Source organism: Homo sapiens, chromosome 12 (genome assembly GCF_000001405.40).
Source record: "Homo sapiens chromosome 12, GRCh38.p14 Primary Assembly".
NCBI classification, from domain to species: Eukaryota; Metazoa; Chordata; class Mammalia; order Primates; family Hominidae; genus Homo; species Homo sapiens.
Window position 1 is genome coordinate 131,729,486 of NC_000012.12, and position 15,637 is coordinate 131,745,122.

The following is a 15,637-nucleotide window of genomic DNA, read 5'->3' on the forward strand; positions in this document are numbered from 1 at the left end:
AGAGCAGTACCCTGTCTCAAAAAGAAGAAAGAAAAAGAGGCTTACAGCATAAGTTAACATATGCACTGAGAAATTACATTTCTTTTTCTCGCTGATTGCAGTTCTTTTATGGTATTCATTAAAGGTAAGTCTTGAAGGTCCATGCAGGAGATCATTTGAAAGTGTTTGACGTTGGTTCCAGCGTCAGGTCTTTCTGTAATTGTTTTATTCAGAGGTTAAATATGGAATGAGGAAGCTTTAGCAGAGCCGAGGAACCACCTGCTGAGTCTGCTTCCCAGGCAGCTCTGGTACCCTGACTCCATTTGTAAAGCTTATCTCCTTCAGTTCAGCCGGAGATGAATTGTTAAAACATCAGCTCCTCTTTATTTGGGACAAGCTTTTGTAAACATCACAGCTGTGTTCTTTGCACTTCCCTTTTAGCACTGGCACATACTAAACGTTTTTAGACTTTAAAAAACTAGTTACTAGAGTGAACTTTCTGCATGTGTCCCCCCAAAAACCTTTTAAAGCTGAGAATGTCTTTAAATGATTAAATCAAGTCATATCAAATTTCACTGAATGTTCAAATCAGAGGTCAGCTCTACTGCTACAGAGGTGCGTGTTCAATAGTGTAGGCAGCCAGCTGTCTGAGGTGCTCTGTAGATCACTCCTAACGCCCAGTCCTCACTGCATGGATTTTTGGATAGACGGCCGCACACCTTTAAGTCTTGAGCCCCACTCGGCAGCCTGTGAAGCTCCCGCCCTGGAGTCATGGGGCGCTGTGCTCTGCCCAGGATGCCTGCCCACTGAGGGACCATCCCTCTGCTTCCTCCTTTCCTTTTCCAAGCCTGTCGTTGAGTTTGCTTGAACCAAATGCATTGTCCGTGCACGTCCACCAGATCCCTGAAGCTGCTGCAAAGCAGAGGACTAGAAATTCAGGGCGGGCTGACCTTGATTATTTGCTGTGCTAATCACTGGTGGAAGAACAGCCATGTGCAGACCCCGCAGGACCAGGCAGGATGGTGGAGCCGGCTGGTAGTGGCCGTTCTGTGACACACAGCATCCCCTGGTCTGGTGGGAATGTGATCTGAACTGAGGCATGCAGGGGTGGCATTGTGAGCTGTCTGGGTCAGAAGGCTTGGTACATTCCCAAGGGTTCACCGCAGGGCGGCCAGAGCCCACACACTTTGGTTTCTTCCCACCTGCTGATGGCTCCCGAGACCACTGATAAGCCGTGACAGCCTCTGCAGGAACCCTAAGCTTACTCTGTTCAGGCCCCTGACTACCACCACCCTGGGCACTGACGGCACCCCACCCTATCCTCCCAACTGCAAGGGCTCTAGTAGGGGGTGCCCTCTCCTCCCCTCAATACGGTGCCGTTGTTTTGAAACTCATCGTCTCCCCTCGACACAGCAAGAGTAGTGGATACACACATGTGAGAGTAAGGGTGCCTGGGGGCTGGTGAAAGCATGCGTGTCTGCTGTTAGGGTCTGTGGGTTTTAGACATATGCTCCTGCATCAGCCATAGGGGTCAGAGCCCTCCTATGAGCCTCCTCGCTGAGCACAGCACTCAGGGCCACCACCACAGTCCCACCCATCTTGGATCTGGAGGGTCAGAAGGTGGGGGAGGTGTCCTCATCCAGTTTCCAAGAAGAGCCAAGAGCTAGAACTTTGGCTCTAAATCACTGTAAAACCTAGCAGAAATCAGTATAAACCTGTACTCAGGCGCTCAGCCTTATGGGATGAGTGGCTGTGGCGTGGCGTTACGTCGGGTCCTCCAGCACCACGCAAGCCCGGGCAGTGCGGCCATTCCAGAATCTGCAGAGGTTCCAGGGCGCCTGACTCACACGCACCTCCCTGCCTGCCGTCTTCCTCTGCTACCCTTTGAGTACCTTGTTCTGCCTGCCTCATGCTTCTGTGTGCTGTTGAAGTTTCGTGGGTGAAAGTCCCTCATGACCTCGTCTTCACTTCCTGGGTTTTCAGTGAAGTTGTTGCAGAATTTGGGGTCCTGTGTGGCAGGTTGTTGGCAGTTGCAGGTGGAGACAGCAGTCATTGATCTACCCAGGTTGGTCATGATTAGGGAACTGCCTGTAATTCATGGACTGACTACTATGTGGTTATTGGTTTGTAATCAGTCATTGATAACAGCATTTATTTACAAATACAGTTCAAATAGAGGGAACACTGGTCATAGTTTTTGGGTTGAGTTCCGTCATGCTAAAGTTCAAGATAATATTGTTACGTTCATTATATGTAGTTTCCAAAAGTATTAATGCAGTGGGATCTCAACTATGCTTAAAATAATAAACTGGAGAGAGCTGTGCAAAAAATACTATGAGGCTCAGAGCTACCTCTCAAATTGGCATTTGGTTGATTTTTTTTCTCTGCATACTTTTTTCATTTTCATGATGTTTTTGAGTATGCATTACTATTTTACTTTTTTTTTTTTTTTTTTTTTTTTTTGAGACGGAGTCTCTCTGTGTTACCCAGGCTGGAGTGCAGTGGTGCAATCTCGGCTCACTGCAGCCTCCACCTCCTGGGTTCAAGCGAGTCTCCTGCCTCAGCCTCCCAAGTAGCTGGGATCACAGGCGCTCGTCACCACGCCTGGCTAATTTTTGTATTTTTAGTAGAGACGGGGTTTCACCATGTTGGCCAGGCTGGTCTCAAACTCCTGACCTCAGGTGATCCGCCCACCTCAGCCTCCCAAAGTGCTGGGATTACAGGCTGAGCCACCGCACCCAGCCGTGTTGCTATTATACTTAAGAAACAAAGTAAAATACAAAGTTCATAGAATAACTGTAACGTTTGCAATGCCGGACAGTGAGGGCAAGAGCAGCCCATGGCTTGGCCTGAGTTTGTGGCAAGCCCAAGCCTGTACAGATCTCCCGAAGTTCCTTCTCAGACTGTTGTGAGGACGTCGCTGAGTTGCTTCAAGAAAAGACCTAAACTCATGGGCTCTGTCTGATGAGCCTTTGTGAATGTAGTGTATGAGGTTGGTGGGCTATTTTGAAATTCCTGCTTCAGCCAGCACAGAGGAAGGTTTGAGGGGCCCCTTTCTGTCTTGGGCACACCCAGCCCTGCTCAGGAGAGCTTGAGAAGCAGGTCTGCGGATTCTGCTGCCCTTGGCTGCTCTCGGCTTGCTCCTCGTCTCCGCCTAATGTACCCAGTGTGTTCACGGAAGTGTTGTCCCATGGGGTTTCATATACAGCCTGTTATTCCTGTATCTCTAATGTGTGATTTTCCATGCTCTGGGCATGCATAGCTTTGTTTCTTAAACAGCCAGCTTTCTACAGAGAAGGCACAACCGTCAGAGGCATTGAAGTAATTTTCAGAAGAGGGCTTAAATTGTGGGCTTTGCACTTGGGAAGTACTCTAGTAGGATACTAGAGAGAAAGCTGTCTGGAAAATTACTAACATTACTGATAACATTTTGGGAGACTCTCAGTTGGGGCAAACCTGGGGCCCCGTGGGGTCTGGAAAAGGGCGGGGCTAGTGTCCTTGGAGCACGTCAGCTTCCACAGCAGCCAGTTACTTTTCCTGAGGACAGAGGAGTTGCATGTGAGGGAGGAGGCGTGATTTAAAGCATGAAGAGAATCATGCCCCACAATGAAACCAGAGCCCTGTGGCCCGCGTTTCAGACCACTGCCAACCATGGACACCAGAGACAAGACAAAGGACATTTTGGCCATGGACTTGAAACGTCAGCTGTATGAGAGCGGGCGGGGGATGGCGCGGTCTCCCTGGTACTTACTGGGCAGGTGCGTATCGTCAGGAGCTCCTCACCCTGCCCTGTGAGAACTTTCGTATGTGTGTCTCTGCCATCTCCTCCTCCTCCCATTCCTGACCTGTTGAGCCAGGGGTGGATTGGCAGGCCTATAAGGCGCCTTTCACATTGAGGGTCTTAGGATTTGCAGTCCAGCTTTGCAGGGAGCGGCAGTTTGTCATTTGTAGGAGGAAATTTCACGATCATAAAGCACGGCATGCATCCTGAGAGCCAGGCAGCGACGCTGCCTGCACTGCCCCACCGCTCAGAGGGCCACAGGAGCAGGGCTTCCTCCTTGCCTCTGAGCAGTGGAGCCAAGGCTGGAGGTGGGCGCAGCTCCATGTTCTCGGGGGATTTCTTCACTGTGTTTCTTGGGGGCTCACCGACTGCAGCCGTATTCCTGGAGAGAGAAGGAGGCCTGTCACAGCATCTGTGACAGCCCGGAAGGAAACAGCAGTCCATACAGTCCCCTCAGGACAGGCACAGAGGACTCCACCCTGGAGTCACAGGCTTGGTGAGGTGGGGGACAGGCAGGGGTGGGCCCCGAGGTGTGCAGAGTGTGTGTTCAGGCTTGTCTTCCTGCCGCAGCGCAGCAGCCCTCCCATGCCTGGGTCCTGGCACCTGCCCCTCCACTCCCCATGCAGCTTCATCCTCCAGGGCGTGGTCTCCAGATGACTTACCTCCTAGATACAGACAAGACCCCAAACACACACATGGGAGCCCTGAGCCCACCCTGGGGCAGGGTGACACATGGGAGCAGGTCAGTGCCCTGTGTGTGGCTTGCCACCATCATTTGGGAACTATTCTTCTGTCCTAGGTGAGTGCCCACCCTGTGGCACTGAGACCCAACAGCTCAGGTGACAGTGACACCTGCAGCGGAGGCTGGGGAAGCATCAGAGCCTCTGCTGTGGTGGACGCCAGGTGGCCCCTGGCACAGAGAGCGTGTTCATCGCTGGCTCCTGCCGCCCTCGAGGACTTGAAGGCTGACGTTGGGCTGGGTGTGGCTCGTACATAGGACAGGGCCCACACACTGGATTCACGTTTTTCCTCACAACTTAGAATAGCAAAGTTACAGACTTTGGATTCTTACGAAGACAAGAATGAATGTCTTGGCTAACCATGATCTTACCCAAGAGGACTTAAAATGAATGTGCAGGAGAAATGAGAAGAGGACTTAAGATCAAAAAGAGAGTGACTAGGAGGTCAGAGAGGCAGCCGCCCACCCCACGCACTCCCTGCTTGTAAGCCGGGGCCGCATTGTTGTGTTACCACACTTCTGTTTTAGAGCCTGTTACGGTTTTGAGTTACACAGACATGTGTGGGCTTGTGCATGTTTGAATGCCCTGTGGACCCGGAGCTCTGTGAGGCAAAGGCTGGGACTGTCTTACTAGCCAGCGTGCTCCTTGCACCTCGATCCAAGGGGCCACGGGGCTCCCAGGAACATTCACCGAGTAACTTCAGAAAAGTGAAGAGCAGAAGTTCCAAAAGCACCTGGTGCTTCCTGGGAGAAGTCACCTGCACAGGTACCTTGGATCCAACTGACAGGTGAGATGAACGAGCTCTCCCTGCGTGCGCACGTCTACGTACGCTCGTGTATGCTGAGGAGCAGGCATTGGAACATGACGGAGCTGCTGCTGCTGCAGCCGCAGATACCATCTCAGCCGGCATGGCGCATGGGGGTGGGGTGGGGCAGTGAGGGGGGGCCCGCTCCGAGAGACAGACAGGTCAGGCCGGAAGCGACTGTCCGTGAAGGTGACGCTCATACCGTAACCTTAGCAGCAGGCTGTTGCCACACAGTCACAAAAGTGGGAGGCAGCAGCAGAGCAATGTGGCCACAGGCACTCGGACTCCAGAGAGCTGGCGAGAGGCTTTCCTGGCTGAAAGCAGTGACAAGTATCTGGGTCTGGGGGACAAGGGAAACTTGGAAATGACAGAAAAGCCCAAAAATCAAGTCCCCACAACCTCCCCCAGCGATGAGAGCCGTCGTAGCCATGGGCTGTGCATCATCCCTACACGCCCGCGCCTGAAGATTTATGCGCGCTTTCTGACGAACAGCCTTTGCAGTTGGGCTTTGTTGTGGCTGGATGACTCTGAGCCCTTTGCTTTGCTTCTCTAGGCCTCAGTTTTCCCATTTGTACCATTAGGGTATTAATTTAAATAACAGAAGCACTCTATCGTATTCTGAATGGGACACCAGTTAATTCTGGAACATTTTGGAGGTTTCCCATTGTTTCCTGTGAACCCCAGAGAGAGTTTGAGAAACAGATGATAAAGGGAAGACAAGATCGTAAAGTGTGATACTGCCATCGAAGGTCTCGAGCCTCATAGTTGGCGCTTTAAGCAAAATAGGCGGTTAAAAACAGGTCTACACATGCTGTGTGTGGACCCAAACCATGAACACATGCTGGGCCCCAGCCCGTCTGTTGCTGTTCCCTTGGTCTTGGCGTCCTGTGGTCCTCACGTGAGCTGCACGCAGCGAGCAGAGCCCTGACTTCCAGTCTGGATTTCTGTAAAGTGATGCCGGGCTTATATTATTTCAAGGACTTCATGGTTACTTCTCCCTCCTGGAGTTGCTCTATGGCTTTTTAAAGCAGCTGACTTTTTATCCATCTTCTCAAAGTATTCAGCTTCATTTTCACAGAAATGATAATTCTCATCTCTCACTCAAATTTTATGTTTGCATAAATTTTCATCAAACACATAATTACAGTAAGTTTAACTGGAAAAAATAAGAGAGACTCTACTGTTAAAAGCAAAAAGGCCCAGGCTTCTGAAGAGACGCGCCTTCTCCCCTGGTGTTTGTCATGGCACCAGCCAACACAGCAAGATGGAGCCACCAGTCCAGCCAGGGAGCTTCTGCAGTGTTTCAAACAAGGCGGCACCAGCACAGAAATCCACAGGCCCTGCAGTGGGAAGGGATGAATGAGTCCCCAAAAACAGATCCAAATAAAAATAAGGACGGAGAAAAGGAAACACCAAGCTAACAGGAAGGGGTGTTCTAAGACACAAAGAGCTATTTGGAAAACATCACATAAGAGCCTCACTTTCACCCAGTATCAGAATCACTTCCAGATGTAAATGCCAGTTGTGGAAATTCTTAGGAAAGTAAGGATGCTTCAGCAGAATGAAGAATCATCTATTTTCAGCCAGCAGTTATATTCAATTAATTTTTTAAAAAATGAGGGGAAAAAAAAAGCCTGTATGTCTAAACAGCTTTTACAATCAAATAGGAAAAAATTCTGATAGTCTAGTAGAAAAAAGATCTGCAGTGCGAATAATTCAGAGGCAAAAATGCCCATACGGTTTTTAAAGACTCACCCTCACTGCCTGCTCACAGGCATCGTGTCCGCCGACCGTAGAACCTGAAATCCGTAGTAAACACCCCTCCAGCGCTTTGGTTCAGCTCAGCTCCAGCGAATGTTAGGATGTGAGGCTTCGTGTTACAGTAGAAAGGAGCGCACTCATAGGCATACAGAACACTGTGCAGGTCTAAGACTTAGGAGAAGACGGAGATTTCTAGGCTGTTGGAATGTTATTTTGTATATGCGAGTTTGGGTAGCTTAATAATAGAGATTAAATAAAAGAAATGCAGACAAAACCTACAATGGAGTGCCATTTTTCAGCTGTCACTCAAGCAGAGAAAAGGTGACAGACGTTTATTGTCGGTGGGGGTGTAGATTTGTGCCAGCGATGTGGTACTTGTGGAGGGCCAGCGGGCAGTCTATCAGTCTAAAACACACGTGCCTCCAACCCAGGATGTCTGCTCTCATTTACTAGTATATGGGTGAACATAGCCACATAGATACTCATCATAGTACAGTTTTAGTAGTAGCAAAAGACTGAGGCGACGCACATCCTCGGTGGAGGACTAATGGAGTCCCTCTGGTGTGCTCTCGCGGTGGGCTGCAGAGCTCTGGGGGTGGGCCAGGGCCCGAGCGCTGCAGGGCCACCCACCGGAATGGCTCTTCCTGAGGGTGGAGGCGAGGTGACTCAAGGGGAGGGCAGCACGAGGCAGTCTGTTCACGTCAGAAGGGGAGGGAAGTGTCTGTAGTGCTTCTGTATCGGCACCTAAAAGGGCAGGTAAGAAGGACCAGTGGCCAGCACAGAGAGGGGAACTGGAAGGACGAGGTCGCAGACAGGAGTGGCTGACTCACCTGCCCGTTTGCGCTGCTTGCATTTTTTCAGCGTGACTCGTCACCCTCTCAAAACATGCAGATTGACGTGGTACTTATTTTGAGACTAAACTGGTATCCTGAGTTAATTCCTTACAACTCTGTATTTTAATAATACGTGCTTTTATCATTTTGTTTCATCAGCTCAGTGTGTTTTTGTTTAGGCGGAAGTGGCCCCCGTAACATCTTTCCCCCGTAGAGACTTGCATACCCAGTACTGCTGTGTCTCGTGGGAGGCTGCTGGGTCACTAAGCTTTTCTGGCTTTCATACGCTGGGTATTTAATAATCACCTTAGGATATACTCAGTCGTTCTTTCTTATTTACTTCCTACTGATGGAGATTTTCCTACATTTTGGCAGCCTGGGAAGAAAAGCATCTATTTTTTTCCTTAAAGTCCAGCAGAATTTTATATATATATAAAATATGTGTATAAAATAATTTTTCTAGAAGCTCATTAAATATAGATGTGTAAAACTAACAATTTATTTCATTTATTAATTTTCCTGACAATGAACTACTTTTCATGCTCTTTATTTTTCATTACTTGTCTTCTGCTATTTAGCTATAAATCCTTATAGAAGAGTATAAATAAATAAAAGTAATTATGCAGGAGGCAGTCATAGTGAAATGCTGCCCACTGTGATAGCCTGTGGGTTTTTTTTAATAAAATGCCAACTCAGTTTTTCTTAATATTCTATAAATATCTGAAGTGAAATTAAACCATTGCGCATGGCTACTATAGATATTTTCTTGCTTCTATCCCTGTTTTTTAAATGTGCCTTTGCTGTTTATGGTATATTTTTCCTGCACATCATGACTTTGAAGTTCTTTACTTACTTTCCAAACCCATTTTTAAAAATGGTTTTATTGTATGTCAAGAGAAGAAGGAAGAAAGCAAAAATGTTACCCAGGATTCCACCATCCAGAAATAGCCATTAGTGAACATCATTAGCAAAGTGGAAAACACTGAGGTCATCGTGCTAAATAAAAAGGAAAGAAAGAAGCTTGTTATCTGTGGAACACAAAGATCATCTTTATGCACGAATATCAATTAAAATGTTGGATGTGTCTCTAGAAATACTTACGTTAAAGTGGAAATAAACTTAATTTTACTTAAACAGAAGAGCCTGCAATCTAAAAATGAAGTAACTGTCGAACTTCGGATGAAAGTTTCTTTTATGCCTAAAGAATTCAGTTCTGAAAAAAGGTTAGGAGAACATTGAGAGGTTGTCATTGTAGATATTTTTTAAAGCTGTGTATTTTTCCTGATTTTTGTTAGAATTATTCAACTTTTTCTTTGCATTTAATATATCTCGAACATCTTTGTATTAACAGTGCATGTGTATCTCTCTCTTCTAGCTGTAGCAACTACCTAGTATCCTGTTGTATAGATTTATTGTGAAACAGCCCTCCATTAATTGATAATTTGATTATTTGTGACTTCCAATTATTTCTACTTTTCCAGTGCTGTAATGAACATTATTCTTTTTTTTTTTTTTTTTTTTTTTTGAGACAGGGTCTCTCGCTCTGTCACCTAGGCTGGAGTCCAGTAGCGTGATCTTGGCTCACTGCAACCTCAAGCTATCCTCCCACCTCAGCCTCCTGACCAGCTGGGACCACAGGCATGTGCCACCACACCTGGCTGACTTTTTAGATAAATTTTTAGAGGGTCTTGCTATGTTGCCCAGGCTGATGTTAAACTCCTGGGCTCAAGTGATCCACCCACCTTGGCCTCCCAAAGTGCTGGGATTACAGGCATGAGCCACTGTGCCCTGCCAATTATTTATTACTTTTAAGCACTAATGTGGTATAATTCTATATGCAAGATAAAAATCTTAGAAAATAAACAGCTAGGTCAAAGAGTATGTGCATTTGTTTAAAGTATTACCAGTGACTGAGCAGTTGCCTTCTGAAACATTGTGTCAATATGCATTGCCACCGCTAGGATATGAGTGCTTCTTAGTTTTGTAACCATTTAAAATGATTTGAATATGCTGATATAGAAATATATTTAAGAGTGAGTAGGACAGTCAATATACTATATTTATGACTTTGGTTCCTTTAAAGTATAGAAATATTATTTTTATATTATGAGAGTTTATAAATAGTATTTGCATTCTATTATTCCCCAGTTGCTTTTTTTTTTTTTTTTTTTTTTTTTTTTGGATGGAGTCTTGCTCTGTCTCCCAGGCTGGAGTGCAGTGGCGCAATCTCGGCTCACTGCAAGCTCTGCCTCCTGGGTTCACGCCATTCTTCTGCCTCAGCCTCCCGAGCAGCTGGGAGTACAGGCGCCCGCCACCATGCCCGATTAATTTTTTGTATTTTTAGTAGACAGGGTTTCACTGTACTAGCCAGGATGGTCTCAATCTCCTGACCTCGTGATTCACCTGCCTTGGCCTCCCAAAGTGCTGGGATTACAGGCATGAGCCACTGCGCCCAGCCCCCAGTTGCTTACTTTTAGTTTTATGGTTGACTGGATTCGTTTTTTCCCTACAGCTTCTCCTTTTGAGTTATTTATTCGATTCATCTTTTCTTGATCATTTGAATTTCATAAACAAGTACGTTTTTACAAGGGCTGTAGTTCATGAATTCTGCCTGTCGAAAAATGCCTGCCTTTGACCTTTATGTGAACAGGACGGCTTGTCTGGGTATAAAACTCTTGGGTAATGCTGTGGGCCTCTCAGATCTCTGGGAACTAGAATCTGACACTGTCCTTTCCACTGCAGGGTGGCCCGGGGTAGCTGGATGGGTCATGACTACCTATTTGGGTTTGTTCATTGGTTGGTTTGCTTTCATTGCTCCTATGCTGCTCTCTGAGTTTTTTCACGCTTGAAAATCTTTCTCAGCTGCCTTTTAACATAAATAGCAATTTGCAGGGAACGATGCACCGAGTCGCTTGCCTAGGATTCAGAAGTGGAATTGAACGTTGCTGTGGAAAGGGCGAGGCCAGCCCTGTCTTCCCTACCTGCCCTGGGAGGTGGATGCTCTTTCTGACCCAACACATCTGAGGAAGTCTTGCTTTACCCTTAACTTTTATTAACTTAATTGCCCATTTTTCATGGACTATATTGTATACCTTTCAGTCAGAGATTCAGTTCTCATTTCTGGGAAGTTCTTTTCTGTTGTGCCTCGAGCACCTTTCCTGTCCCACGCATTGGTGCCTCTGCTTGAAGGACACAGTCTCTTGGTTCGGGTCACCTTTCTTCGAGCCTGTGCTCCCTGTGTTTCTCTTTGGCACTCAGCAGGACTGTGTCCATCTTCCCTGTCAGCGACTTTTTTCAGCCATGTCTATTTATTCCTTGTAGTTTAAATTCCATTGGTTTTGCAGTGGTATTGTTTGGATCCTTGGCTGGTTTTCTAAGCTTTACAGCAGGGCCCCACAGCCTTTCTATATAAAGGTGCATGTCTTCAGCCCTGCAGCTGCCCAGCCTCTATGCAGCCCCTGCTCTGTCCCTGGGGTGTGGAGGCAGCTGCAGATGGTTGTAGACCCATGAGTGTGGCAGGGCTTCACTAAAGCTTAATTGATGGATACGAGGCTTTTCATTTCTTTTTTTTTCTTTTTTTTCTTTTTTTTTTTTTTTTTTTTTTTTGAGATAGAGTCTCACTCTGTTGCCTAAGCTGGAGTGCAGTGGCACGATCTCAGCTTACTGCAACCTCCACCTCCTGGGTTCAAGCAATTCTCTGCCTCAGCCTCTCGAGTAGCTGGGATTACAGGCGTCCGACACCACGCTTGGCTAATTTTTGTATTTTTAGTAGAGACAGGGTTTCACCATCTTGGCCAGGCTGGGAACTCCTGACCTCGTGATCCACCTGCCTCGGCCCCTCAAAGTGCTGGGATTACAGGCGCAAGCCACCGTGCCCAGCCTAGGGTTTTAATTTCATACAATTTTGATGTCATAAAATATTATTTTGTTTGTTTGTATTTTTTCAACCATTTAAAAATGTAAAAACCAGGCCAGCCATGGTGGCTCACACCTGTAGTCCCAGCACTTTGGGAGGCCAAGGTGGGTGGATCTCTTGAGCTCAGGAGGTCAAGACCAGGCTGGGCAACATAGTGAGACTGTCTCTACAAAAAAAATTAAGAAAATTAAGTGACCATAATGGCGCACACCTGTGGTCCCAGCTGCTGGGGAGAGTGAGGTGTGGGGGTTGGCAGAGGGGAGGGCATCGAGGAGTTCCATGCTGCAGGGAGCAATGGTTGTGCCACTGTACTCCAGCCTGGGCAACACAGCGAGACTCTGTCCAAAAAAAAAAAAAAAACAGTAAACACCATTCTGCTGATGGCTGTACAAGAACAGGGAGAGCGCCTGCTGGACCCTGCCTCACAGCCTCCCCCTCTGTTGCATTTGGTTATGTTACCTTATTTTTGTGCTTTGTTGAATTCCTGTCTTCCCAGATTCATCTGTGGCTCAGAGAGCTCAAAGGTTCCTCGGGTCACATGCTCCTGTAGCCTGAGATGCCATTCACATGCCATGCTACTTCCCTCCGCTGCTTTTCCTGGGGGCGTGTGCAGGGTCTCATGCCGTCTGGTGCTCCTTCTTCCCTGGTGTGCAAGCCTGTGTGTTCTTGGTGTGGGTGGATTCTCCTTGATGCTCTCTCACCTTCTCTTAGCACCTTTTTCTTCCCTTCCAACAGCCTTCTTGGGAAGACCTATCCTCTGCTGTCTTTTGTGAGATTCTAAAAATGTCCTAGATTGGATTTCCTTCCCCCAGTGAGGGAACTACAGGGAGAGACGTTCTTGAGTATCACAGCATATGTGTCAGGCAGGGCCCCAGGTCCACAAGCCCCGTTCTCCTCACTGTCAGGATCCCCACGGCAGGTCATTGGCATTTCCACCTGCTTCTTTCCATGGTGGGGCCCAGGTCTCACTTCAGCCACTTGCTCTCTTTACCCACAACTCTCTGGAACCTATTTTTATGTAAGAAGTCTTCAAAACCTCAGTACAGCATTAAAAATTGAAAGCTTTTTACTTTGAGGGTCACTGATGAAAATGGTAAGTTATGTTTAGAGACAGGCTTTTTTTTTTCTAGAGGAAAGTTTTATTTGCCAGAAAGAGGTGACTTTTAAGCACAGTGGGCTAAAATTCCAAATAGCTGGTTAAATGCCCAAAACGGATTCATTTTGGTAGTTTCCCAGTTTGACAAATGAGTAATCTTGCATCACTACAGAAATCATTCAGGTTTCCCTAATCCAATTTGGTGATGTCAAAACAAGTCTTCTCTTGTTGGGGGACTTTTTTTTTTTTTTAAGATACTAGGTCGTCGGGAGGTTACAACAAAATACAGTGTGGTTGTGATGGACTGCATGTTAAGTGATTTTATTGTAAGTCTTGGCATATAAGAACCCATTAACAGATCATTGGAAACCATTCTGTGTTGTGATATGGATAGCCTCATGGTTTATATTAGTCTGTTTTCACACTGCTGATAAAGACATACCCGAGACTGAGGAGGAGAAGAAGAGGTTTAATGGACTTACAGTTCCACATGGCTGGGGAGGCCTCACAATCATGACAGAAGGCAAGGAGGAGCAAGTCATGTCTTACATGGATGGCAGCTGGCAAAGAGTTTGTGCAGAGAGACTCCTGTTTTTGAGACTATCAGATCTCATAAGACTCATTCACTATTATAAGAATAATGCGGGAAAGACCCGCCCCCATAATTCAGTCACCTCCCACCAGGTTCCTCCCACAACATGTGGGAATAGTGGTAGTTATAATTCAAGATGAGATTTGGGTGGGGACATGGCCAAACCATATCATCCCCTCTCACCCCTCCCAAGTCTCACATCCTCACATTTCAAAACCAGTCATGCTTTCCCAGCAGTCCCCCAAAGTCTTAACTCATTTCAGCATTAACTCAAAGTCCACAGTCCAACATCTCATCTGAGACAAGGCAAGTTCCTTCTGCCTACCAGCCTATAAAATCAAAAGCAAGTTAGTTGTTTTCTAAATATAATGGGGGTACAGGCATTGGGTAAATACAACCGTCCATATGAGAGAAATTGGCCAAAACAGAGGGGCTGCACAGGCCCTGTACAAGTCCAAAATCTAGCAAGGCAGTCAAATCATAAAGCTCCAAAATGACCTTTGACTCCATGTCTCGCATCCAGGTCACGCTGATGCAAGAGGTGTGTTCCCATGGTCTTGGGCAGCTCCGCGCCTGTGGCTCTGCAGGGTACAACCTCCCTCCCGGCTGCTTTCACAGGCTGGTGTTGAGTGTGGCTTTTCCAGGAGCACGGTGCAAGCTGTTGGTGGATCTACCATTCTGGGGTCTGGAGGATGGTGGCCCTCTTCTCACAGCTGCACTAGGCAGTACCCCAGTAGGGACTCTCTGTGGGGGCTCCGACCTCACATTTCCCCTCCACACTGCCCTAGCAAAGGTTCTCGATGAGGGCCCTGCCCCTGCCACAAACTTCTGCCTGGGCATCCAGGCATTTCCATACATCCTGTGAAATCTAGATGGAGGTTCCCAAACCTCAGTTCTTGACTTCTGGGCACTTGCAGGCTCAACACCACATGGAAGCTGCCAAGGCTTAGGGCTTCCACCCTCTGAAGCCACAGCCTAAGCTGTACCTTGGCCCCTTTTAGTCATGGCTGGAGCAGCTGGGACACAGGGTACCAAGTCCCTAGGCTGCACACGGCACAGGGACCCTGGGCCCAGACCACGAAACCGTTTTTTCTTCCTAGGCCTCCAGGCCTGTGATGGGAGGGGCTGCCATGAAGACCTCTGACATGTTCTAGAGACATTTTCTGCATTGTCTTGGGGATTCACATTCGGCTCCTGGTTACTTATGCAAATTTCTGCAGCCAGCCTGAATTTCTCCTCAGAAAATGAGATATTCTTTTCTATTGTCAGACTGCAAATTTTCCAGACCTTTATGCTGTGTTTCCTTATAAAACTGAATGCCTTTAACAGCACCCAAGTCACCTCTCAAATGCATTGCTGCTTAGAAATTTCTTTCACCAGATACCCTAAATCATCTCTCTCAAGTTTAAAGTTCCACAGATCTCTAGGGCAGGGGCAGAATGCCACCAGTGTTTTTGCCAAAACATAAGAAGTCACCTTTGCCTCAGTTCCCAACAAGTTCCTCATCTCCATCTAAGACCACCTCAGCCTGGACCTTATTGTTCCTGTCACTATCAGCATTTTGGGCAAAGCCATTCAGCAAATCTCTGGGAAGTTCCAAACTTTCCCTAATTTTCCTGTCTTCTTTTGAGCCCTCCAAACTGTTCTAACCTCTGCCTGTTACCCAGTTCCAAAGTCACTTCCACATTCTGGGGTTATCTTTTCAGCAGTACCCCAATTCTGGTACCAAATTACTGGATTAGTCCATTTTCACACTGCTGATAAAGACATACCTGAGACTGGAGAGAAAAAGAGGTTTAATGGACTTAACAGTTCCACATGGCTGGGGAGGCCTCACAATCATGGCAGAAGGCAAGGAGGAGCAAAGTCATGTCTTACATGGATGGCAGCAGGCAAAGAGAGGCTGTACAGAGAAGCTCCTGTTTTTGAAACTATCAGATCTTGTGGGACTCATTCATTAACATGAGAACAGCGCAGGAAAGACCCACCCCCATAATTCTGTCACCTCCTACCAGGCTCCTCCCACAACACATGGGAATTGTGCTAGTTACTAATCAAGATGAGATGTGGGTGGGGACACAGCCAAACCATACCAGTTTTATCTCAGTTGGAAAATACTTGGACACAATGTGTG

General features: G+C 47.2%; 1 protein-coding gene across 8 annotated transcripts in view, besides 3 other annotated features; it reads left to right on the forward strand.

Moving 5' to 3' along the window:
• Window positions 1–15,637, forward strand: part of SFSWAP (splicing factor SWAP) — an 88,649-nt gene that overhangs the window by 18,396 nt on the left and 54,616 nt on the right. The gene's annotated exons all lie outside the window — the stretch shown is intronic.
• Window positions 2,458–3,127: an enhancer, noted in NCBI's record as "H3K27ac hESC enhancer chr12:132216488-132217157 (GRCh37/hg19 assembly coordinates)". NCBI's record gives its function as "activates a minimal SCP1, AML or CMV promoter by ChIP-STARR-seq in naive H9 embryonic stem cells {active_cell/tissue: H9 hESC(naive)}" and the evidence as "EXISTENCE:reporter gene assay evidence [ECO:0000049][PMID:30033119]".
• Window positions 3,128–3,796: an enhancer, noted in NCBI's record as "H3K27ac hESC enhancer chr12:132217158-132217826 (GRCh37/hg19 assembly coordinates)". NCBI's record gives its function as "activates a minimal SCP1, AML or CMV promoter by ChIP-STARR-seq in naive and primed H9 embryonic stem cells {active_cell/tissue: H9 hESC(naive and primed)}" and the evidence as "EXISTENCE:reporter gene assay evidence [ECO:0000049][PMID:30033119]".
• Window positions 7,050–8,249: an enhancer, noted in NCBI's record as "BRD4-independent group 4 enhancer chr12:132221080-132222279 (GRCh37/hg19 assembly coordinates)". NCBI's record gives its function as "activates an origin of replication core promoter dependent on BRD2, P300/CBP, MED14 and CDK7 cofactors, and independent of BRD4, by STARR-seq in HCT116 cells {active_cell/tissue: HCT116}" and the evidence as "EXISTENCE:reporter gene assay evidence [ECO:0000049][PMID:35650434]".